Here is a 24,585-nt window from a genome sequence, read left to right on the forward strand (position 1 = left end):
AAAGATTTTAAAAACATATTCTTAAAAGCACTGAAAAATTGACAAGATATTAAGGACTTACCAGGCCAAAACTGAAAGGGAAAACTGGAATTCAGAGAGACAAGTGAGCAAGGAAGCCGCTTCTGCCATTTGCAAATGCTAACAATTTCTTTCTTTTTTTTTTTTTTTAATAGATGGAGTCTTGCCCTGTCACCCAGGATGGAGTGCGGTGGCATGATCTCGGCTCACTGCAACCTCCGCCTCCCGGGTTCAAGTGATTCTTCTGCCTCAGCCTCCCGAGTAGCTGGGACTACAGGCGTGCGCCACCATGCCCAGCTAATTTTTGTATTTTTAGTAGAGACGGGGTTTTACCATGTTAGCCAGGCTGGTCATGAACTCCTGACCTCAGGTAATCCCCCCTCCTTGGCCTTCCAAAGTGCTGGGATTATAGCCATGAGCCACCGTGCCTGGCCCAAATGCTAACAAATTTTAATTTTAATCCTGAAAGATGTATGGGCTAGTAGGACAAAAATTAAGGCCCAGGTTAACACAAGGAGGGGAGTATAGAGGAGACCTACATCAGAATAAGCTGAGACCCCAACAGGCCACACCCTAAGGTTCAAGGTGAATCAGAATTACTCCAGGTCTCAAGAACTAGCAACCCAAGCACAAAGTAGCCTGCTTTGTCCAAAAACCCCAAGTTCTAAACTTTGTATAACGTAGTCCCAGATTGATGGACCTCCCAAGCACCCAGCAGAAGCAAGTACAAATTATTTCTGTAGAAAGGCACCTTAATTCTAGGCCTCAAATTATTCCTACAAATAATTTTCAAGTACACACAATTGGGTAAACAAAGAAACAAAGCCACCAAGAATGAAAATCAGTAGGAATAACGAACAAGACTCACAGATGTCAAACAAGTCTGTGGGTCTTGCAGACTTCAGATGTTGGAATTATTAGTCGTGGCAAGTGTTCAAAACATTAGCTATTACCATTATGTTTACCAACTAGTGAAGTGAACTATGAGAGGATATATTAACCACAGAAGTTAATAGAAGAATAGACTCCTGAAAATATCTGGATGCTACAAACTAAAATATAGTATATAATCCTTCATAGAGTGTCAGTGACTTCATATTTATAATTACATTTTTGTATATTAGCAGTGTTCTAGTTCTTACTGCCTTATCTTTAAGCTGATTTTAAATAAAATTATATTTTGGGATTCAAAAACACATAGCTAATGATTACTATGTGGCAGTGTTACATTACTTTATCACATATCATTAACATAATCTGCATGTGTTCAAAGAGATCTTCATACTTCTTTGTAGCTCCCACTTCTTTGTACGTCTTTGTAGCTCCCACAACATCTAGAACAGCACAACCGTATATGGAGAAAACTCAGTCTAGTATTCGTTGAATGACTAATGGAAAATTTAGTTAATAACAGAACTTTCTTCATTGTACAAATTATCTTGCAGAAGAATAATGCCATAGTTTAAAATTATCATATTTACCATATCACAAGTTATTTTATCTCTTTGCTAGAATTTGAAACGTTACTTTACCTTTGCATTTCGTTGAGCATACTGTGCAACAACTCGAGACAACAGAGACCAAAGAGCAGGGTCACCAGGGTTGCTAAAGGAATCAAAAGTAGCAGGCTTAGGGACAAGTTACTTTAACCACAAAATGTACAAGCAACCAACAATTTATTAAGTTTAAAACTTTTCTTAATATCTAAAACAAGTTCATATTAATTGCGCATGTTTGGTTGAAAGTATTTTTAGAAAACATACTTTATATCACCTATATACACCAACAGTCTTTATGAAAATAAGAAGAAAAAAATCAACAATGGATGATTATAAAGTCATGAGATAATTAAGAAAAGTTAAGGAAATTTAACACACTGTGTTCAAACACAAAGAGATTAAAAATTATAGGATAAGTAATACTGCATGGCAGGAAGATGACTACTAATAAAAATGACATAAGGAATAAGCTTTATATTAAAATAACTAAAAAAAAACCCAGCAAAGATTGTTAACAAAAATGAACTCTAAAAGGAAAAGAGACTACAGACATGACACTTTACTGCTAAAAATAAAACATAATAATTAACCACTGCTACTAATGACAGCTTCCTTTTATTAAACTTTTGAAGAAATTAATGAATCTTTAAACGGCTGAAAATTACTAAAACCATCAATCTAGACAGTACCAGACAACAGACTAAGAATATTACAAACTTGGGAATTAAGAGCTTTAATAGTAAAACAAAGTTTGGGCCTTAACCTGACTAAGGGCCAAATTTATCAATTGAATTAAAAAAACACAATCCTTATAGGTAAAATAATATATACAGTCAGTTACCTGGTCCTGTGTAAAATTTCATAAAACCAGGGTTTGGTTTTCAAATGTATATTCTTACCTTATTTTATAGTATTAATAAAGTCCCAATGTCAAATGCAACCATATCAAGTATAATTAGGTTCCAGGTTCACAAATACAGAATTTACCTGTGAACAGCTTTAGATATTTGTTTTTGCACAGCCACACTGCGGCCTTGGAGTGCATAAATCGCTGATGTAAGAAGGCACCTCTGATAATTACTGTCTTTGTGTTTGATGTGCTTCAGTAACTCATTAAGTGCTGCTTTTGACAGTGTAGCATCCTGCATTGCCAACCCTAGAGCACACAGGGCTTGAAGGCTTTCTGTGGTTGGTTCCTTTAAGATAGAGCTGTAAAGATATTTTAAAATTACCCATTAGTTAGTCTTTTTTTTTTTTTTTTGAGACGGAGTCTCGCTCTGTCGCCCAGGCTGGAGTGCAGTGGCACCATCTCGGCTCACTGCAAGCTCCGCCTCCCAGGTTCACGCCATTCTCCTGCCTCAGCCTCCCGAGTAGCTGGGACTACAGGCGCCCGCCATCAGGCCCGGCTAAATTTTTGTATTTTTAGTAGAGACGGGGTTTCACCATGTTAGCTAGGATGGTCTCAATCTCCTGACCTCGTGATCCGCCCATCTCGGCCTCCCAAAGTGCTGGGATTACAGGCGTGAGCCACCGCGCCCAGCCTATGACTAGAGTAGTCTTTATCTGTAACTATCAAAACATTATTTAGTATAACAAGCAATTTACGTAAAGAGTCACCAAACTAAACTCAACTTTAAGATTAATATAAAAGCAAATTTCTTGGTGGTTAAGAGATAGCAATTTCCCTGACTGAAGCAGTTAAAAGCATCAATGACTTTTCACAGACCAACAAAAGCCAAACTTATTTTCTGGTCATTACACCTAAGTGATATGGTTTGGACCTGTGTCTCTGCCCAAATTCCATGTTGAATTGTAATCCCCAGTGTTGGCGGTGGGTCTAGTGGGAGGTGATTGGATCATGAGGCAGAGTTCTCATGAATGGTTTAGCACCACCTCCATTTGGTACTGTATAGTGAATTCTCACGTGATCTGGTTGTTTAAAAGTGTGCAGCACTTTTCTCTTCCTCCTGCTCTGGCCATGTAAAACATGCCTGCTTCCCCTTCACTTCCTGTCATGATTGTAAGTTTCCTGAGGCCGCCCCAGAAGCAATGCTGCCATACTTCCTGTGCAGCCTGCAGAACCTTGAGCCAATTTAACCTCTTTTCTCTGTAAATTACCCAGTCTCAGGTATTTCTTATAGCAGTGTGAGAACTAATACACTAAGTTTTAGAAACAAATATAAATTAGCTTCTTTGAGTTTCAGCTCCAGGTAAGTAATTAGCACAATTTTGCTAAAATGTTGAGTTCCAATAAAATCTTAGAAGGTATAAATAATAAAAAAAACTCTTCAATTAAAATATGATTTTTATCTTTCTGATAAAGATTTGTCCTATTTGCTCTATGGTATTGAAACCAGCACTTTACATAATAAGTACAAATTGTCTCTATATCCACTATACTCCAAACGAGTATTTTTATAATTTAAGGATAATTTACATTTTATAGGTAAACATCTAGCATTTTTTTTCCTCTTTCAACTATAAAATCTGACTTAGCCTTATGGAGGAAAATTCATTAATGTTTAGGAATCCCAGTTAATTTAAATAAAGAAAATCTTAGCTCTCCACTAACAACCAAACTTATAAGAATTATTATGAATTTTATACTGTAATAAAAATAAAGGAATTTTTTTAAAAACTTTTTTTTTTAACTTAAGTAGTTTTATTTTATGGGCAAATAATGAACAGATGTTGTACCCATAAATTCTACTTTCCAAAAACGGGAGCTTTTTAAAAGAAAACCACATAATAACTTTTAAAAGGCGCTGGGATTCCTCTGCTTCTAGATCATTGCTAGGCTAGAAAAATAAAGTTTGTTGTACCAGGAATCACAAGTTAGAACTGAGTATTCTCCAAAGCGGAAATTCTAGAGTGTAGTATCACTAGAGACAAAGACTATTTGGTTTTCATCCCTAAATTCCTACCAGAAGGGTTAAACCAGGTCAAAACAGTCCAGCATAATTAGGCTTCATCAAACAATGTCATTATGCTCTTCTAAGATGCAAATAAACCAAAACAGGAAATACTAAAATCAAAATAATATCTGACACTGTCATACAAATCGTTAGTTCCTTGTTGTATCCCCCCTTCTTTAACATTAATAAAGGGAATATTTTACTCAAAGAACATTTTATTTTATACATCACTAACCATGAATTTTTGCCATTAGTTATTATACAAATGCTGCCTAGTACCATTATCCAAACGGCATAACCATTTTACGTCCACAATTCACTTCTATAGTTATAAGTAGAATTTTCATGATTTACATAAGTACATCTATCGGTGAAGATTTAACACTGAGATGCAATCTAACATCCGTTAATATCTGATGTTTTGTAGATGGCAATGTAGGAAAGATATATTTTAATCACTTTTCATTTAAATGACCTTATATAACAAATTAATAATTTAGCAGGTCTAAGTTTTAAACAATGCTCACTGAAATATAACAGAAATATTTATAACATTATAAAATGTCACATATCTACCATTACGTCTTTGGACTATTTTTGGAAGGGGGAAATTAAAAGTTTTGTACTTCATTTTGACAAACAAGTATCAAATCATGAATTTTCTGAGGCAGTTCTGAAGTAAACAGCTTACTTAAAGTATCTATAGTAACTCTTTTTACAATAAGAGTTAATACATATGTGTCCAAATATGGAAGTATGTCAGTCAGTGTCATGTCTAGCAAATAACCACATGGCTAATGGGTACAACTAAAAAAGCCAAAAAGCAGATAGTAAAATATAAATTTCAATATTGATAACAAAAAAAAGGAATTCTACTTTGTGCCTTGCTCAAAGGAAAAAAAATCTACCTACTTTAATACTTACTAATAAACAAAATCTAAATTATGACTGAAATGACTACATTCTAGTATTAAGCAAACACGTGCTGAATGCTCAATATCTGTATGTTGTCTTTTACCATGTTCTAAGGATTTTACACATGGTTACTTATTATCACAGTCTATAAAGTTGGTAACCAGACTTTTTTCCCATAATGAACTTAATCCTATTCCCCTTAAATCAGTGTCTAGTACACTGCTCAGTTCACAACATATGAATGCCAAACAACAGCAATATAGACTAAGGAACTGAACTTTTTCATAGAATGAAAATCAAACAAAATAATGCCAATGGGTAGAGGTGGAAGCAGTTGGTAGTGTCAAGTTTGGGTGAAGACAGGCAGAAAATCAAAAACAAAGAAAGAAACATAAAAAACAAAAAACCTAGGCTTGGATCCAACAACATAAAACATCGGGGTAAAGGTTTGCCTTCACATAGGAGAAGGGGAAAAAAAGAAAAAAAAGATTGTATATATATATATTTTTTCCCACTTTCATTTCCTGTCTTAAGCAATAACCAAAGACTAATCTAATGACTCTAATATGGGGTTACTTTTGCCCTTGATAACTGCAGTAATCATGAGTATCTATGATTCTTGTCACCAAGCCATTTGCAAATTTAAGTTCTTGGAACATGTTATATATAACGATAGATACATGTTAAAATGATATAGCCATGTAAAGTGACAGGATTTTCTTTTAAATGGGTTGGCTTTTCCTAACCAGCAAAGAGGAAGAAAAAAATTGCTTATTTATTAGACAAGGAAATGACTGTAATGGCACAGGATAGGACAAAGGCATTACATCAAATAAACAAATGTAAAGTTTATCCTATAGAACTGGTTCTCAACCAGTACCATCTAACCATCTCCATCCCCCCACCTTTGGAGATGGGGTAGTTACAGAGGCAATTTTTTTGATGTCACAATGACTGAGGAGTGCTAATATTAGCACTTAGTGGGTGGGAGGCAAGGATATAAGCTTTTTGCAATGGGAGGATATCTCTGTACCATGAAGATTGGTATCACTCAAAAATGCCAATAAAACACTCACTGAGGCCACTGTTTAATAGCATACATTAATCACTACTGCTTGTGAAGGAATTCAGGTCACTTTTCAAAAAACTAATCTTCAGTGAAGTTAAATAGTATTATATAAGTAACCACAAATAACACAGGTCGTTATTTTATTAACCTACTCCAAAAACACAGAAATAGTTTTAAGTTTTGTTACACATTTTTAAAAAGATTTACCTTTAAATGAACCTTTTAACAGGTTATCTTGAAAAGGAAAGAAGAAAATATCTCTTTGGGAATCCAAGAAGCCAAAAGACAAGGCTTCATTACAACTATCTTCATTAAAATTTTAAGATACTAATTATCAGGTGATCAGTTTCTCTTTTAAAAAAACAAATAATATGCAACAGAGTAATGGACAGTTTCGAAGAATCCAATAGATCAAGGGATAAGAATTAAATCACAATCTGTAGCTCCACCTGTGACTATCAATTCAGAACCAGGTGGGCCCAATCCCTTTTGTTCACCCAAAAGTTCCTAAAACATGAAGAACTTACGCTTTCTCCAATTCTCAACCCAAATATCTAAGTATCTGGTCATGTTAAGTGTTGATGTCAACTATACATACCATTTAAATAGCAATGTCTTGGCTACATCCGTTTTTCCTTGTTTATATTCAGTTATTGCCAGAGCTGTCAAGATATGGGCTTTGTCTTGCTCCGATTCAACAATAGACAAGGCTCTCTCATAGGCTGTTACATAGAAGTGAAAACAAACAAAACAATATAAAAGCCATCCTGATTGATGAAGCATGGGATTTTTCCTTTCCAAATTTTTTAGAAAGGTCTAAATACAATTATATCTTTGTATTCTCCTGTTCTCAAGCAGATAGAATAAAAATTTATAATAATCTAACTTGTTTTCACTGTTCCAAGGTGATTCTGAAGTATCATTAGGATTATTATGTGACAATCCCTAACTTCTACGTTCGGAATCTATATGGGGATCTAGGTCACTGTCTTTACGAGCCAATTTGGGTCAGAAGCAGAGGCCTGCAGCCACTGAGATATCACCAAAACTCCCACGTGCAGCCCAGCAACTCCATCAAGCAGTAGATATTTCAATGCTCTATACACATGTGGGCTAAGCCCATATATGTGAAAATGCATCATATAACATATTTGGAGAAATCAAAATCTATTACTAACAATGGTTGAGGTCTTCATTTATCAGAAATTAACATCTAAGCAGTGTAGAGTAGTAAACATTTGTTTTCAAATGCTAAGTCACATTATTTGCCATAAGTGATCTTGGGCCCCAGTTTCCTCATCTGTATAATGAATACTCAGCTCATAACACTACTATAAAGACTATTCATCATAATAACATTCTAAATGAGGTAACAGATAAAAAAGTGCCTAGTATTGCTGCTGACTCCTAGTCAGATTTTAATAAACATTGCAACCCCCACCCCATCTCATTATTACATCTTTCTGTATGTGTGCTCATCATGATTAAACTCGACTCTAAATGTGTCCTTAGCTTCAGAGCAATATACTTACCTTTGCTGCTCTCTTTATAAAGCCCCTTCATGAATAAAGCCAATGCAAAACCTATGATGTCTTCTAACACTTCAAGGGGTGTTGACTTAAAAGCCTGGATAGCTTTATCATATTCACCAGTGGAACTAAGAAGTAAAGCACAACTTACTTTTAATATCAAAAGTAATTCTGGTGTGTATCATCAAAATACTGAGATATAATTACACTAAGTTGGGCCGGACGCGGTGGCTCACATCTGTAATCCCAGCACTTTGGGAGGCCCAGGCGGGGGGTGGGGGTGGGGGGTGGGGGGAGGGGGTGGATCACAAGGTCAGGAGCTCGAGACCAGCCTGGCCAACATGGTGAAACCCCGTCTCTACTAAAAATACAAAAATTAGCCGGACGTGGTGGCACATGCCAATAATCCTAGCTGCTCAGGAGGCTGAGGCAGGAGAATTGCTTAAACCCAGGAGGCAGAGGTTGTAGTGAGCCGAGATTGCACCACTGCACTCCAGCCTGGGCAAGACAGAACAAGACTGGTCTCAAAAAAAAAATTTACACTAAGTTTCTTTTGATAATTTCATGTGTACTTCCTTTTTTATAGTGGTCTACTAAATTACGAAGTGTCTCTTTTTTTTCTTAACAAGCTTTAATTAAAATCCCAAATTATAAAAATAATTTCAAGTTGACTTTAATATGGATCTCTAATTTTTTTAAGCTGAATACTTAATTAAATATTACCCTATGAGTATGATTCTAGCATCTTTGCCAAGCTTAACAAGTCATAAAATGCCTAGTCAGAATCAAACCTATCTTTTGTGTAAACTGTTTATCTGCACATTTTTTTTTTCTTTTTTGGAGGGCATACAGATACACTAAAATTCCACAAACAAAATATTATTCTTTTTTGTGTTTAAGGGAGAGGAAGCCGGGCACAGTGGCTCACACCTGTAATCCCAGCACTTTGGGAGGCCAAGACAGGGGCATCACTTGAGGTCAGGAGTTCAAGACCAACCTGGCCAACATGATGAAACCCCGTCTCTAATAAAAAAAAATACAAAAATTACCCGGGCATGGTGGTGGGTGCCTGTAATTCCAGCTACTGGAGAGGCTGAGGCAGGAGAATCACTTGAACCCGGGAGGCGGAGGTTGCAATGAGCCGAGATTGCATCACTGCACTCCAGCCTGGGTGACAAGAGAGAAACTCCATCTTAAAAAAAAAAGAGGGAGGAAAATATAAACTGTAATATATACTAAAGTGCAATACTTATTAATAACAGAAAAATAACTTGTTTTTGCCTAAAGATAAAAGGAACTTGTATAAGCTCAACTGCCATCATCTGAAGAGAAACACTATATCTTTGAGATTCTTCTTTCTGGTATCCATCACTATAACCTGAATCTGTTTTTATTTTTAATGTGTTGTGGAAATCTTTTTATAAAATCTTTTTAATCTTGGAGGATATGAATGGGGGCTAAAAATATAGGCAACCTTCACTTCTAAATAAGTTTTCTAAAGGTGAAAGGAATTATAAAATCAATACTCAAATTTTGATAAAGGAAAGAGGACTACCTTAGATTGTTTTTGGATACATACATATATATTAAAAGTATTTCTTTAAATAAACACTATCTTCTAAGATGTGCGTGCTTTTGTGGAGAAAATAATGGAACTACAGAAGGGAATGTGGGTGCTTCCACAAATCTATCTGAAATTTTTTTGGAAAAAGTAACCTGAAGGCCGGGCACGGTGGCTCACGCCTGTAATTCCAGCACCTTGGGAGGCCAAGGCGGGCGAATCACGAGGTCAGGAGTTCGAGACCAGCCTGGCCAACACGGTGAAACTCCGTCTCTACTAAAAATACAAAAAATTAGCTGGGCGTGGTGGTGGGCACCTGTAATTCCAGCTACTCGGGAGGCTGAGGCAGGAGAATCTCTTGAACCCCAGAGGTGGAGGTTGCAGTGAGCCAAGATCGCGCCACTGCACTCCAGCTTGGGCAACAGCGCGAGACTCTGTCCCCCCAAAAAAAAAAAAAAGAAAAAGTAACCTGAAGCAAGCTGACAGAATTTTAAGATATAATTTGATTGGTGACTTTTCATTAAATGATTCTATTACTTACTGCATGTTTGCACATTTCATACATTTCATAATAAAAGTAAACTTAAAAAAAATCTGTTTTCAATGGAAGGTATATATTTTCTTCTAAAATACTTACATTAGTACTTAGATTATATAAAACATCAAAACTAAAAAGAACAGATACTTTATTCTACACAATATCTGTCCTCTGCTTCAACAAAATCTTGGAACTGACAGCTCTATCAACTTTTAAGTATTTTTTTCAACTTTTAAATTTAACAGTTTAAAATAATTGAAAGGAGAGGCAGTCAGAACAGTTCAATCTTCCAATTTTGGATATAATTCAGGTACACAATTATAAAAGAAAATAACTGGCTACCTAAGGTCTGCCAGGTAGCTCCTTAAAAGATGTAGCACTAATCCTAAGACATCAAAGTATAGTTCTAACAGTGTTTTTCAAACTGTACCATTCAACTTTAGGGCAGCTCTAGGATGCTGCCTTAACTTGAATCAAAAACCTTCCTCCTACAATACTTCTATTCTCTGGTCCTAGTTCTACCCTCTAAAACAACTGGTTCTTAATCTTTCTTTCTTTTATTCTTTTTTAGAGTTAGAAGTCTCTGAAAAACTGAGGAAAGATATAGAGCTCATTCCCCATCCCCAAAAGGTACCCACACAACAATTTTTGTGTACTGTTTCAAAGGGGTTACTGGACCCCTAATGTCCCTCCCCGGTTTAATAATATATAGCAAATCAGAATAAATCTAATTCCTCTTCCAATTAACGAGGCTTCTACTGTTAGAGACAGTCACTACCTCTCTTCCAAATGTTCTCATCTCCAGTCAACAAACCATGAGTTCTAACTCTGCTCCACATAAAGCACACTGGGGTTGGTTACCATTATAGGTATAGGAAACTGTTAACAGAGCCTGTTTCTATGGAAATTATGTATCCTACATGTACCAGTATTCTAGGAACTAGTCAGCATATCAGCAGTCCCATAGCTTTCACCAGAAAAATACAATCAATTGACAGAATTAATGGAGAAAAAATACGCTTACCATAACAATCTGCCGTAATTTCTTATTGCAACATTGTAAGTATCTTGGTCTTCTGCAGTCTGTAACAACAAAATTGCCCTTAAAAAAAAAAAGGTATTTTAATTTATCTCTGTGCAATAGCATTCTGTTACCTTCCTCTTTAGCTGAATCCACAGATTTTTGTTCATTTAATTCTACTAATTCTTTGGTGCTAGTTACAATAGCTTATTCATATTTTATTAAGTTGGTACCACAAAAGCACTTATATATATTTAGATTTTAGACTTTCAGGAAAATAACATCTAAATAACCTCTTAGTAAGTGAAATCATATATGACATTTGAGTTCTAAATATTCCAAAAATCTAAATATAGGAAATGACTATGTCACAGTTTAAAGTTTTGACATATTTGGAGTTTATAGAAAACACCCTTGAAACTATTTATATATTAGTAGTTTGAGTTAGGAAGCCAGGAAATTGAATGCTTTCATGTGCCCTTGCTTGTACATACAGAAAAATATTTAAAGAAAAGTAAGTTGAGGGAAGGGGACTAGTCACTAGAAGTCCCTCAAGGATTGGAATAAATAACCTGCTGACAACGTGTATTTCCTTCTCATGCTCAGTTCCCTATGGGCAGGCAGGGAAATGTCTTAACGACTAAAAAGAGTTGGATATTTAACAAGATTTTTGGTTTTTATTTTCTTTCCCATTTAAAGACGACTGGCTAGGGAGAAATAGCCAAGAAAGATTTTTTATCTCCCTGATGTTGCATGAAAAACAAGAATTTGCTAGAGAAGCCTAAAGACAGTATTATAGAGATGAAAAACTATACCCTTATTTAGATTTATGCCTAATTTGTGGCTTCAACCATCAAATAGTTGTTTAAAGCAGAAAACAGCAGTGATGATCAGTCAAGAAAGTGGTACATACACCCAAGTGACTGTGGAGATGCCATTTTAAGCCTAAGGTGTAACCAATGTTAGATTCACAATATCTGCAATAATAACGATACATACCAAAAAAAAAAAAAATAGCAAACACCCTAGCTGCCTAGTTTTCTCTGTTTAAAAATCTTGCTCACTATTGCAGTCTGTCATATTTATACAGTTTACTGGTAAGTTTGTTGGCTTTGAAAGAAGCAAAATAGTGGTTTTTCATATACACTCATTTTCATATACTTCTTTCCATACACACCTGGAAAAATAACTTCTTGATTACACAGGCTCCAGTACCATCTAGTGATTACTCCTTTGAACTACGGAGAGATCCATAAAAGCATATGGCAAAGCATTCAGGACACCTCAATTATTTTTTACCTGACAAGGCTTCTTGTAAATATTTATTTAGATTTAGGGCAATAATGTGCCTCAGAGATTAGGCAACCAGGTCTTTTTACTTTTCACCTAGTAGTTGGTCATGAGATCAATAGTTATTTTCTTATCACCTATCCATTAATTTACATAGAAATTTATGTAGATTTCATTTCCTACCACTCTCCAGCTGGTCATTCCATTGTAGCACACTGGCTTTCTTATTTTGTAAACATGCCAAATCCACTCCTCCACTTCTCCACTTCTCTTGCTGTTCCTTCTGCCTAGAATGGTCCTGCCTAGATAAACAAGTGGCTTGTGGCCTCAGTTCACTGAAGTCAGGCCTCAACTGCCTCCTTAGTAAATCTATCCATTCTTAAACTCACCTGAAATGTCACTTCCTGCCCTGCATTCTCTGGCCCTTTTCCCTACTTTAATTTTCTTTCTTAGCAATTACTATCATCACAGATGTTTATTAGCTTATCATGTCTCTTCAGCCACAGAACACATGCTCCATGAGAACAGGGCCTTTGTCTTTTTTAATTTACTGCAAAATAATCAGTGCCAAGAACACTGCTTGGCACGCAGTAGTCAAAAAATATTTATTAAATGAATAAATAAATACATAGTAGATATTAAAGTCATTCAAACAAACACATCACAATGTTCTCATTTCTTGTCTCATTGAACACATGTTCAAATCTAATAAAGCTAGACAAGTTCTTAAAAGACAGACTTTTCTAAAAATCTGAGAAGATTTTTGTTTTGTTTCATCTTTCTTTTCTATCGATTTCTCTCTCTCAATTTCTCCACCCCACCTCCTTAAGATGAGCAACAAAAACCAAAATATAGCTGAAAATTTGGGAACACATCTTTTCATCTTCTAAGATGTAATAATAGTATACAATGAAACATCAGGAAAGGAGTCAAAACAATTATTTAGTACCTTCTTCCCGAGAATGAAACTAACATTTGAAAAGATAACCGATAAACAATGATAACATTGCAATTGATGTAGAACTTTGTTCCTTAGTTCAGCTAAAACCGGGTCCTTGTCACACAACCAGGAAAAGTTAGGCACGCAGACACACTGAAGGGTGAGGGGAATGGATTTATTGGGTGAAAAGGAAAAAAGAAAAAAAACCTCTCAGCAAAGCGAGAGGGGTTCCTGCTAACAGGCCCACATCTCACAGATTGATTCCAGGCCACGCACCCAAGAACTGAAGAGGCCAGGCTCCTCCCCACCTGCAAATGGCGTGAACATCCCCTGGCTTCACCCGGTTCTCCCAACGCACAGGCCAGTCAGAGATTCTCCAGGAACCCTTCCCCTCATCTTCCTCCTGCATCTATCACAATTAAATGTAGTTTACCTTTGGTATGCATTTGCTGCTTCCTTTTTCAGTTGTAGATGTTCGTTTAAGTAACCCAACATTGTGAAAGCTGGGGCATAATTCTGAATTCTTTCTAGAAAATGAGAAATATCTTCATTTTAAATATGCCTACTGATGGTATTAACAAAATATTCGTTTTATTTTTTCAGTATCTTAAATATCAGATTACCTCTTGAGATCACTCACACTGTTAAGAATAGTGGCCTGATTTTATCTTGAATATAATGTCAGTAAAAACTTTATTAACTCTAATTACTGAATAATGTTTAATAGTTATATTTGATTTTTAGTTGTATTTTAGAATTTAAACATTTTATGCCCAAAGGTATAATAACTTGAAATTATAGTTCTTGTTAAAACCAGTCATGAGATTTATAAAGATATTCAGTTCTTTGGCTAATTACTTAAGCCTTCCTGTGATTAAATTTAGCAATAATTTCTCTTGGCGGTTCTGTTCCAACATGTACGTATTTAAAAAAAATAACAAAGTCAGTATTGTACACTAGAAACAGAAGGTAAGTTTGGTACTTTCGGTGCAGTATTTTGAAATTTTAATGTCAAAAAACATAATGTATCTGAAACCACCATTTCAAAATTATAACTGAGACAGTGACAGAAATCCAACCTAACTCCATCTTGCTTCTAACCTCCATGCTGTCCTCGTTCATTCCTGGGCACAGGCTAAACTAACTTTGGGAGGAACTTGGTTTATAGTTTATAGTTTGAAACAAAGATGACAACAGCCCTTTCCCAAAACAAACCCCCTTCTTGCCTAGCGACTAGACCTGCCTTTGCAGGACTACTGAATTAGTCAAAAGATTAATTATGGTTTAGGAGTCATACAGCTGGAGGCTACAAGATTCTGACCCTCCCCAAATTGTTCCTGGGGATAACATCACTATTCAGAGCCTGCACTTGATGGATCAGCTGGCATCACCCAGATTGATAAACTGGCTCATCTGATCTTGTGGCCCCCACCCAGGAACTGACTGCGCAAGAAGACAGCTTCAACTCCCTATGATTTCATCTCCAACCCAACTAATCAGCACTCCCTACTCACTGCCTGCCCACCACCATCCACCAAATTATTCTTAAAAATGCTGATCCCCAAATGCTTGTTCGGGGAGACTGATTTCGGTAATAATAAAACTCTAGTCCTCCACACAGCCGGCTCTGCATGAATTTCTCTTTTTCTATTGCAATTCCCCTGTCTTGATATATTGGCTCTGTCTAGGCAGCGGGCAAAGTGAACCCATTGGGTGATTACCTATCTATGAAGGTAAAATGTAGAAAAAGAAATGTATCTGATCTAATGTACTTAAAAGTAGTAGTGGAAAGTAAGCCTTCAAATCCTTTAGATTATTTAACAAAGTACACTGTAACCATATCTTTTGTGATTGCTAGGTTCTAAGATCAACAACTAAGGTTAAAATCAAATAGTCAAAGTTATTCTTGAAAAATCCTTAAAGTCACAAAAGAAAGAGTCAACAAAATTGAGTCATAATAAGCATGAGGGCCAGGCACAGTGGCTCACGCCTGTAATCCCAACACTTTGGGAGTCCGAGGCGGGTGGATCACCAGGTCAGGAGATTGAGACCATCCTGGCTAATACCGTGAAACCCCACCTCTACTAAAAATACAAAAAATTAGCCGGGCGTGGTGGCACACACCTGTAACGCCTACCTGCTAATCGGAAGGCTAAGGCAAGAGAATGGCTTAAACCTGGGAGGTGAAGTTGCAGTGAGCCGAGATTGCGCCACTGCACTCTAGCCTGGGTGACAGAGCGAGACTCCGTCTCAAAAAATAAATAAATAAATACAAAATAAGCATGAGGAGATCCATGCCTTCACATGCCACACCCACCCTAAGGCAAACCCCCCCAAGTGCTGATGTTTGTAAATTAATTGCCTAGTCTAGTGCCTCAGGCTAAATGCATGCAGAGTGCCACAATCCCCACAATATCTACAGTGAGGCATTTTCTCTCCTGTTTTTCACAATTTATCTGATTCTTTATATTATTTGACTGCCAATATTTACTGTTTTCAGTACTCTTGCTTAAACTCCTTGCTTCTTTATTAGCATTTTGTCAAAAGTTAATGAAACTAACATTTCTTGAGCATCTAGGATATGCCAGGCACCCTGCATAACATTTTGTACAAATCATCTTGTTTAAACACTAAGCAATAAACACTTTCCTGTTGAGAATTTTGGTAGCATGCCCAAGGTTTCAGTCAAGGCTACTAAGTGGTGGAGCAGAGATTAAAACCCAATGGTAGTTTTATTAAAAAAGACGGAATTATTACAACAGATGGTTAATAAAATTTCACCACTCTGTCAACTTCCTAAACCTAAATGTATCTTTCCAATATCTTCAAGAAAAATCAGGTGTTAAGTGGGGAAGCTAAAGGCACTGGGTTTGGCACTTCATTTATATTATCTCATCTAGTTCTCACAACTCTACAATCCAGGTATTGTTATATCCACTATCCAGGGAGTAAACAGAAGTTAAGGGTGGTAAAACACTTGGCCTAAGACTGCAGAGAAAGTTAAAGGCAAAGCGAGAACAGCAGCAACTGTTCTAGTGTATAGTGTATAGTGGAGAGTGTATTAAAGCCTAATACACTCTACACTATAACAAGGAAATTACTTTTTTCTTGCATCATTAGGTAACAATTTTTATCTTTCTTCAAAAGCCTTTATTAAAGTTTACAAAGTAAAGACTGCTTCGCTGTTGCAAAAAGAAGGCAAATTCATGTCTTAAAGAATACCAATATTTAATTTGACATGAATTAATTTTAAAAATTATTTAAATTATTTCAATAGTTGCTCAAATATCTTGCTATTATATAACAGGTACCTTACCTACATATTTATTCAAAATAACTTGTGCTGCTGGAATAGCATTCATCTGGAGGATGTTGTACTGGTACAGCTCTGTTTCTCTGTTGCTTTTATCTTGCAATGTTGTGCAGACCCAATACGCATAACCTAATGCTCCTTCAGTCTTTAAAAAAGCCAACGTTAAGCAGACATAGGATAATAAATGTGTCAATAAAAATTATAATAAGAAGTAAAACAATGCACTTCAATACAATAAATATCACATCTCAGTGTTCTTTAAGTCAATTGTTAAAAGTACCTTTAAATGAAGGGTCACTATGATAAAACACAGCGAAGAACATATTGAAATTATTTGCTCCAATCCTAACGAGAAGAATCAAACGGGATAAAATGCAGAAAACAGAGCCTTGCCTGATGGGCTGGCTTTCCCTTCCTCAGCACCATTGCCAAAGGTCAGACCAAAAAAAAAAATGAATTCTACAACATTTTCATAAATAATCTAGAAATGTCTACCATGCCTACTCCTTATCTCATGTCTATCTTTTTCCTAGAGTCTCAGTTTCTATTCTATTAATATATGACTGCTACTATATCTATTAAATCTAAACATCATTTCTTCACCAGCTCTTGAAAGTTGTAGAAAAAAGAAAAATGGTAGTTCTTTAATTCGAGAAAACTAATCTGTTTCTAAGAAAGAATAAAGAATAAAAACAACTGATGTCATTAACATCTAATACCACTATCTATTCATTTTCTTTTTCCTTTTCTTAGAGACAGAATCTTGCTCTGTTGCCCAGGCTGGAGTGCAATGGCATGATCATAGCTCACTGTATCCTGAAACTCCAGGACTCAATCCTCCTGCCTCAGCCTCCTGAGTAGCTAGGACTACAGGTATACACCATCATACCTGGCTAATTTTTAATTTTTTTTTTTAAGAGACAGGGTCTTGCTATATTGTCCAGGCTGGCCTCAAGCAATCCTCCTGCCTTGGCATCCCAAATCACTGGGATTACAGGCATAAGCCACTATGCCTAGCCCAATATCTATTCATTCCCTTAACAAGGATAACACTTTTCTCATTAATGAATCCTCAAGAAGAATGTTCAGATTCTTACATGCATATTTAGTTCTGTAGTGTGCCTGAAGAGATCCATGGTGTCATAACTTCCAACTGCCTCAGCAATAAGAGCCTATAAAAGGAAAAAAACAGACTCTTAATGTGTTTAAAAGACAGTAACAATAATAATACAAAATGAAACTGTCTAGAAGAACCAAAGGTTTACTAGCTGAGCTTAAAAGCAAAGTTAACCTAAGTTTTTCACTTCTATTGTTATTATTTTAACTAAATCTTCCAGTTACCTGCTAAAATAAATTATTTTTAAAACCAAAAATACTTTTAAAATAAAAATTAAAAAGTGATTCTGATAATCATCTAAGATCTACTGAGCTAGAGCAGTACTACGCGAAGTGAGGTCCCTTGGACCAGCCTCATAATCATCACTTGGGAGCAGTTAGAATGCAAATTCTTGGACTCCCTGGGTTCAATGGCTGACACAGAGGCTAGCACAGTAACGCCACTGCTCCCAAATGCTACCACAGTGAATGGGAACAGGAGTTTGCCTTTCTAGCTCTGCTTGCTTCACCAATTAACTAGAATTAGGCCCAAGAGTCTAAAATACAACAAAAGATCTCTAAACCCTGATTAATAATTTTCTGATAAGCAACTGACTGCTTACTAATTCATTATAATTTCTCAACCAGGCAAGAACTTCGAGGCCACTCAGTCTAATCCCCTTCTTTTTCAGGTGAGAAAATTAAAATCCAGAAAAGTGATATGCTAAGGTAAAAAAAGAAAAAAAAATCAGTAGGTAACAGACTCAGACTAGTAACAAAGTATCCTGATTCCTATTTGGCAGTACAAAAATCTGAATTTGGGGGAGGAAAGAACACTCATAAACAAGTGACAAACCAAATATGAAGATTTTACAGAAACATAATATTCAAAATGATCTTTGTAAATGTGCATTTTCTTTGTACATGTGAGTTAAACAATAGAGTTCTGGGTTTATTTTTTAGGCACAGTAATGTCAGACTGGTAAGTGTTCAAAGGCCCCCCAAGTCAGAGTTAAATCCTTACAAGCTACGTGGCCTTAGGAATGACACTTAGGAGCTCTGAGTTTCTATTTCCACAACTATAAAGAGAGTATAACATCAACCATATCTCAAAGAATTGATGATTGATAGATTAACTGAAATAGTGTATACAAAGAGCTAAGCACAGTGACTGGCACAAAGTAAGCCCTCAAATGCTATCCGTTACCATTATTATCACTGTTATGCATATTAGTCAGTTATTGATATCAACAAGCTTATTAGTAACTATATGTTATATTTCTTACTTGTCCAATCCAGCACATTAAATAAGATGGATCAAGGGATTGAGCCATTTTGAAAGCCTCATGAGCTTGCTAGGAAAAAAAGGCAAAAAATATTACAGCAAGTCATTTTATAAACTTATTAAACCGCTTATGTTTAAAAAGCATAAAATAAGTCAAACCTCTCATCATAAATATGTATGAACATAAAATTTCACTGTTTAAGCATAATTAGCAATGCTTAAAGCAGTGTTTTAACTACACAGTTCTGGAACACTCCTGGGTGCAACAGATTTCTCCCCAGGTTAGGAGTTCTGAACCCTAGCAAAAAAGGGTTCTACCTTGTCATCTGCAGAACTTTTAACCAACCAATCATCCATCCATTAGATAGCCATAGGTTTGAAGGCAATGATTAAATAAGGCTATCTATTCCCCTTTTAGCTTAACTGGGAGGATAAGAACTCACAACCAATGAAGTCCTAACCAATGAAGTCCTAGACATGTGTATACCTGCTACCAGAGAAGGAGTGATCAACAACATAATTCTGCATTAAGCAATCAGGAAACTTCAAAAATATCTAATTTGGACACATTAACTTGGATGCTTTTTTTTCTGCTACAAAAAATAACTTTTTATTACATACTGCTTTATACTATTTTCTCAACAATCTATGTATGGCAGGAAACAGTCTTATTTTTCCTATTTTTAAAAAGTAAGCTCATGGGCAAAAACTATCCCATGCTACAATAAAACCACATCCATAGCTTATTAAGACATTGTTTTATTTAAATTAAAAAAAGTTCACGTATTTTAAAATCCAAATTAATATTTTCTTCAATCTATTTACAATTTTCTAAATCCAGTCTTTTTTGCAGGGACTTAATGTATCCTTGAGAATATTGAGAAAGCTTTTTGGGATGAGATTCAATATACCAGCTGAAACACAAAACAGTTCAGACATGGTATTACCTATAGATTTATGGAAACTTTCCAAACATGACCTATAAACATACTCCCAGTCACTTTAGTTCTAATTGCCTAATGTATAATTGCTCAAGTATGACAAATTACACTTGCTATTTAAAGAGATTAATATCTACTAAAGCCAAAATGTAAAGCATCCAAGAAAGGTTAAATTTAAGCTGCTAGAGAGTACTAACTGTCTCCCTTGTGCTCATCCACTCCACCTCCAACACTATCTACATAGGACTTCTCTTACATGTGTACAGATTTAAAAAAATGCTGAATTGATTCAGAATCAAACTGTTTTAATCTCTAAATGAAAAACCAACATAATCACAAAACCAGAAGTTTCTTGAAGGTCATAAAAAGGAAAATAAATCTTACACATTAATTATTCGACATAAATTGAATATCATCAATTAACTAGCATACTGGAGAGCATACTGGCTAGATAACGATGTGCAAAAACATTTCTCCACAAGAAGCTGAGCTATTGAGGAGACAATAATATAGAAAACATTCTTTGTTTTAAATATGACAGACAGGCAACATATTTACCTCAATGTTTTCATTTGTGAGGTATAACACTCCCAAGTTGGTCCATGCAACAGCATTCTAAAAAACATAACATTTTTTTTCTTAAAATAGGCCCCTTGTCTAGTTGAAAGTCTCAGAAAATTAGTAATACTAAATTTTGAAGTTCTTTTTCATAGACACATAGAATACTCACAATTTGTTCTGACTGGATTGATTTGATGAAACAGTGCTGAGCAAGGGCATAATTTCCAATACCTGAAAAATACAAAACCTGATGAAACTGAACTTTGTTTGAAATACACAATCTTCTAAAAATATTGAAGTGTTACTCAATTCTCACCACTGTAACATGCAACCACACCAAGAGCATTCCAGTATAAGTGATTATTACTGTCGAGTCTCACTGCTTTTTTCAGACACTGAAAAGAAGTTAAATTAGATTAATTTTTATTTCTTGGAATAGCAGCATGTATATCAAGATATATGTGGTTTTATGTGAAAACACTATTTACTTCATCCAAAACAACTTCGAGAAAAGCATTATGTTTTTGAAAAGGTTTATAAAAAATTTATTTATACCATACATGTAAAGATTTCTCCAGCAACTCCTTAAGATCATTCATGTTGCTGCCTGTTTCTGCTAGATGTTGTGCTTGGCGATAATAATTAATTCCAAGGTCACACCATGTATTAGATGTAGACATCAGTTTTAATGCACGACCATAACACCTACGGGAATATAAAAGTGAATGTTTTTTGTTACAATGCCTTAATTCAATTCAAATGTTATTAACTGGCAATCTTTGCAAATTACCTTCCTCCAAGGTGGAGGAGCTCATTTTTCTTTAATACTTGTTTTCCTTCTTTCTGACCTAGAAGGACTCCTAAAACATGAACATTCACTTTAGATGGTGCGACAGCATACAGACAGGTACAAGCATCCCCAGCTAGCTTCCAGAGGCAGGACACATCAGCTCGATGCTGTAGAGCACTAAAAAAAGAAACATTGTGATTCTTACAAATTATTTATAAAAAGCATGAAGTTTATCTCCCTGATTATTACTTAAAACAGAAAAACTGTACATTAAGTACTTTACTAGTCTCCTCCTAACTGAATCATATCATATCACCTCCCTAATAGGAAGGGAAGAAGAAAAGGAGAAAGGGAAGGAGGAAGGGATTACTTTAAGTGCCAGAAATTTTGTGGACACTTTTTTTTGTTACTCTTCACCATTTTTATTAGAAGTAGCAGCAATCACGCAAATAAATAAATAAGTTTTCCAGGACCAATTTCCTTTTAATATTAAAATGTTAAAACTATGCTTTTTGTGTTTAAGCAATGACCAAGGCAGTAAAGTTTGTAACTCTCTTACAACTGACAGTTGTAAACTCAGGTTTTTGCTTTTAGATCTTCTCTCATGCTGTGTAGTTTTGACTACATCCCCACAAAGCTCATGAGTTGGGAACTCAATCTCCAGGACAACAATGTTGAGAAGTAGGACCTTTAAGAGGTGATGATGTCATGAGGGCTCTGCCTCCCTAAATGGATTAATACTGTTATTGTAGGAATGGGTTAGTTGTCACAGGAGTCAGCTCCTGATAAAAGGGTAGGTTCAGTCCCATTTTTTTTCTCTTGCATTCTGCCCTTCTGCCATAGGATGACCCTCACCAAGATGCCAGCACCATGCTCCTGGACTTATCAGCCTCCAGAACCAAGTCAAATAAACTTCTGTTCTTTGTAAATTAACCAGTCCATGGTATTCTGTTATGGCAGCAAAAAATTGATGAAGACACCTCAAATAAAATATACCAAATATATTTGGTAAGATCTGAAAGATTTTTGTAAATTTTATTTTTTAATTGGCATAACTATATATATTGATGAGGTACAGAGATGTTTTGATACATATAATGTATTGTGATCAGATCAGGGTAATTAGCATATTAATCATCTCAAACATTTATAATTTCTTTGTGTTAGGAATGTTCACTATCCTCCTTCTAGCTATTTGAAACTATATATTATTGTTAACTACAGTCATCCTACAATGCTACAGAACACTAGAACTTATTCCTCCTATCTAGCGTAATTTTGTGTCCTTTAACAAGTATTACCCATATATCCTTTCCCCCTACCCTTCCCAGCTTCTAGTATCCTCTGTTCTACTTTTTACTTCTATGAGATCAATTTTTTTTTTAGCTTCCACATATGAGTAAGCACATATGGTGGTTAACTTTCTGTTCCTGGCTTATTTCACTTAACATAATGTCCTCCAGTTCTATCCAAATTGCCTTAAATGATAGCATTTCATTCTTTTTTATGGCTGAATAGTATTCCATTGCATATAAATACCACATTTTCTTTATCCATTCATCTGTTGTTGAATATCTAGGTTGATTCCATATCTCGACTATTGTGAATAGTGCTGCAATAAACATGAGGGTACAGATGTCTCTTTGATATAATGATTTTCTTTCCTTTGGATAAGTTCCCAGTGGTGGGGTTGCTGGATCATACGGTAGTTCTATTTGCAGTTTTTTGAGAAAACTCCATACTGTTCTCCACAGTGGCTACACTAGTTTGCATTCCCATAAACCATATAAGAGTTCTCTCTTCTCCACATCCTTGCCAGCCTTTATTTTTTGTCTTTTGAATAACAGACATCCTAACTGGGGTGACATGATACCTTACTGTGGTTTTGATTTGCATTTTCCTGATGATTGGTGATGTTGAACATTAATACCCTGAGACCAAAAAAAAAAAACAAAAATCTAAACATAAAAATCTGAAGAACTACATTTACCGAAACAAGAGCAGACTGAATGAACAAGCTCAAAAAGCAAAGAGAAATATTAATTATGGTGACAGAGGGCAATTCCTTTTAGAATGAGAAAAACTTCAGCTATACATTTTTCTTCATTTTTCTCTTCTCGAGATCTTATAAATAACACATGGCAATTTCATTTAAGCCAAGTCTCAATAATCAGCTATCACAAGCTGCTATGTTACTGGCAGATGGAAAAGCAGATGGAACATTTTTCATAGCCTTTTCTACTCATGGAGTCCAGCCAAAAATAATTTTCCAATGTCTTCCTAAGAAATAATATTAATTATTGTGGTCATAACTAAAAGCCCACTGAGAATCTGAAAGAAGGGCAATATGATTTGGAGTTCCTTTGCCTAAATATCTTAGCAAAATTTCTAAAATTGACAGCAAAAAATGAGAAGAGAGGAAAAAAGTGAAACAGGCGATTTTAAGAGCCTAAATTCTTATTTTGAGTTCAATAAAAATAAAATATCTATAAATTGAAGTAACTTATATCACCCTTACACAATAATTGTGATAGTATTAACGCCTTGTAAGTCTGGAAGTAAATATACATTTGGAGATTATAATTGTTTTATATGCCACCTTCTAATGGGTTATGTTACATGTTATCCAGAATAACATTTCCTAGGCTCAGAGAGGCAGTATTTATAGCTAAGGTACTGTCACCCAAAGGTTCACATTTACTCTTAAATAGCAGTTCAAATAAAGCATGCCCTTTACACAGTAACTTTCCCTTTAGAAAGAACTACATTATGTGAGACTTGAAAAGTAGCAATAAAATTCAGTGAGATAAAAAAGGGTTAGGTTTTCATTTCATATTTGGTTCATATGAAAAGCAATTCTGGAACAACCAATAAATACAAAACAGAGGAGAAACCAAGCAGGAAAAGAGGGGAAGTAGAAGAAAGATGTTTAAGAGTTACAAAAAATTCAAATGTACATCTAACTTGTGGACTTTTGGAAGTCTTCTACCACAGATAACACTTTTTCTGACCTAACCAATGAATTCACAGTTCTATAAAATGCCAAATCTACTCAAAATTTTCTGATTCCTTTCTTGTTATTAGACACATCACTTTTTTCCTTCACAGTTTCTCCTCAGGAGCAATCAGATTGTCATTTCCCCTTACCTTCAAGACCTACTAATAATCCTACAATTGGCTCTTACCACTGAATGTACAGCATATTGAGCACCTGAAGCCCTATTTCCCAATCGGTTCCAATTAAAGATACTCATTTCCAGGCCTACTGAAAGAGAACACTAACACATGGTGTCAGAGCTGCTGTT

At 35.5% G+C, this 24,585-nt stretch overlaps 1 protein-coding gene across 3 annotated transcripts in view; it reads right to left on the reverse strand.

Annotated features, from left to right (window-relative positions):
- The window catches only part of SKIC3 (SKI3 subunit of superkiller complex), a 91,084-nt gene that overhangs the window by 31,972 nt on the left and 34,527 nt on the right, over positions 1-24,585 (reverse strand). For 2 of the 3 annotated variants that reach the window (NM_014639.4, XM_047417937.1), the window contains exons 21-34: positions 21,281-21,457; positions 21,051-21,195; positions 20,807-20,885; positions 20,660-20,721; positions 20,488-20,544; positions 18,990-19,058; positions 17,706-17,780; positions 16,612-16,753; positions 13,729-13,822; positions 11,069-11,146; positions 7,949-8,073; positions 7,015-7,138; positions 2,505-2,726; positions 1,551-1,623 (exon numbers count right to left, since the gene is read on the reverse strand). In NM_014639.4, the coding sequence (NP_055454.1) occupies positions 1,551-1,623; positions 2,505-2,726; positions 7,015-7,138; positions 7,949-8,073; positions 11,069-11,146; positions 13,729-13,822; positions 16,612-16,753; positions 17,706-17,780; positions 18,990-19,058; positions 20,488-20,544; positions 20,660-20,721; positions 20,807-20,885; positions 21,051-21,195; positions 21,281-21,457 (1,522 nt within the window). Of the gene's footprint in view, positions 1-1,550; positions 1,624-2,504; positions 2,727-7,014; positions 7,139-7,948; positions 8,074-11,068; positions 11,147-13,728; positions 13,823-16,611; positions 16,754-17,705; positions 17,781-18,989; positions 19,059-20,487; positions 20,545-20,659; positions 20,722-20,806; positions 20,886-21,050; positions 21,196-21,280; positions 21,458-24,585 lie in introns of those variants that run through there. The other variant, XM_047417938.1, reaches the window with a different exon arrangement.

Source organism: Homo sapiens, chromosome 5, assembly GCF_000001405.40.
Source record: "Homo sapiens chromosome 5, GRCh38.p14 Primary Assembly".
Taxonomy (NCBI): Eukaryota; Metazoa; Chordata; class Mammalia; order Primates; family Hominidae; genus Homo; species Homo sapiens.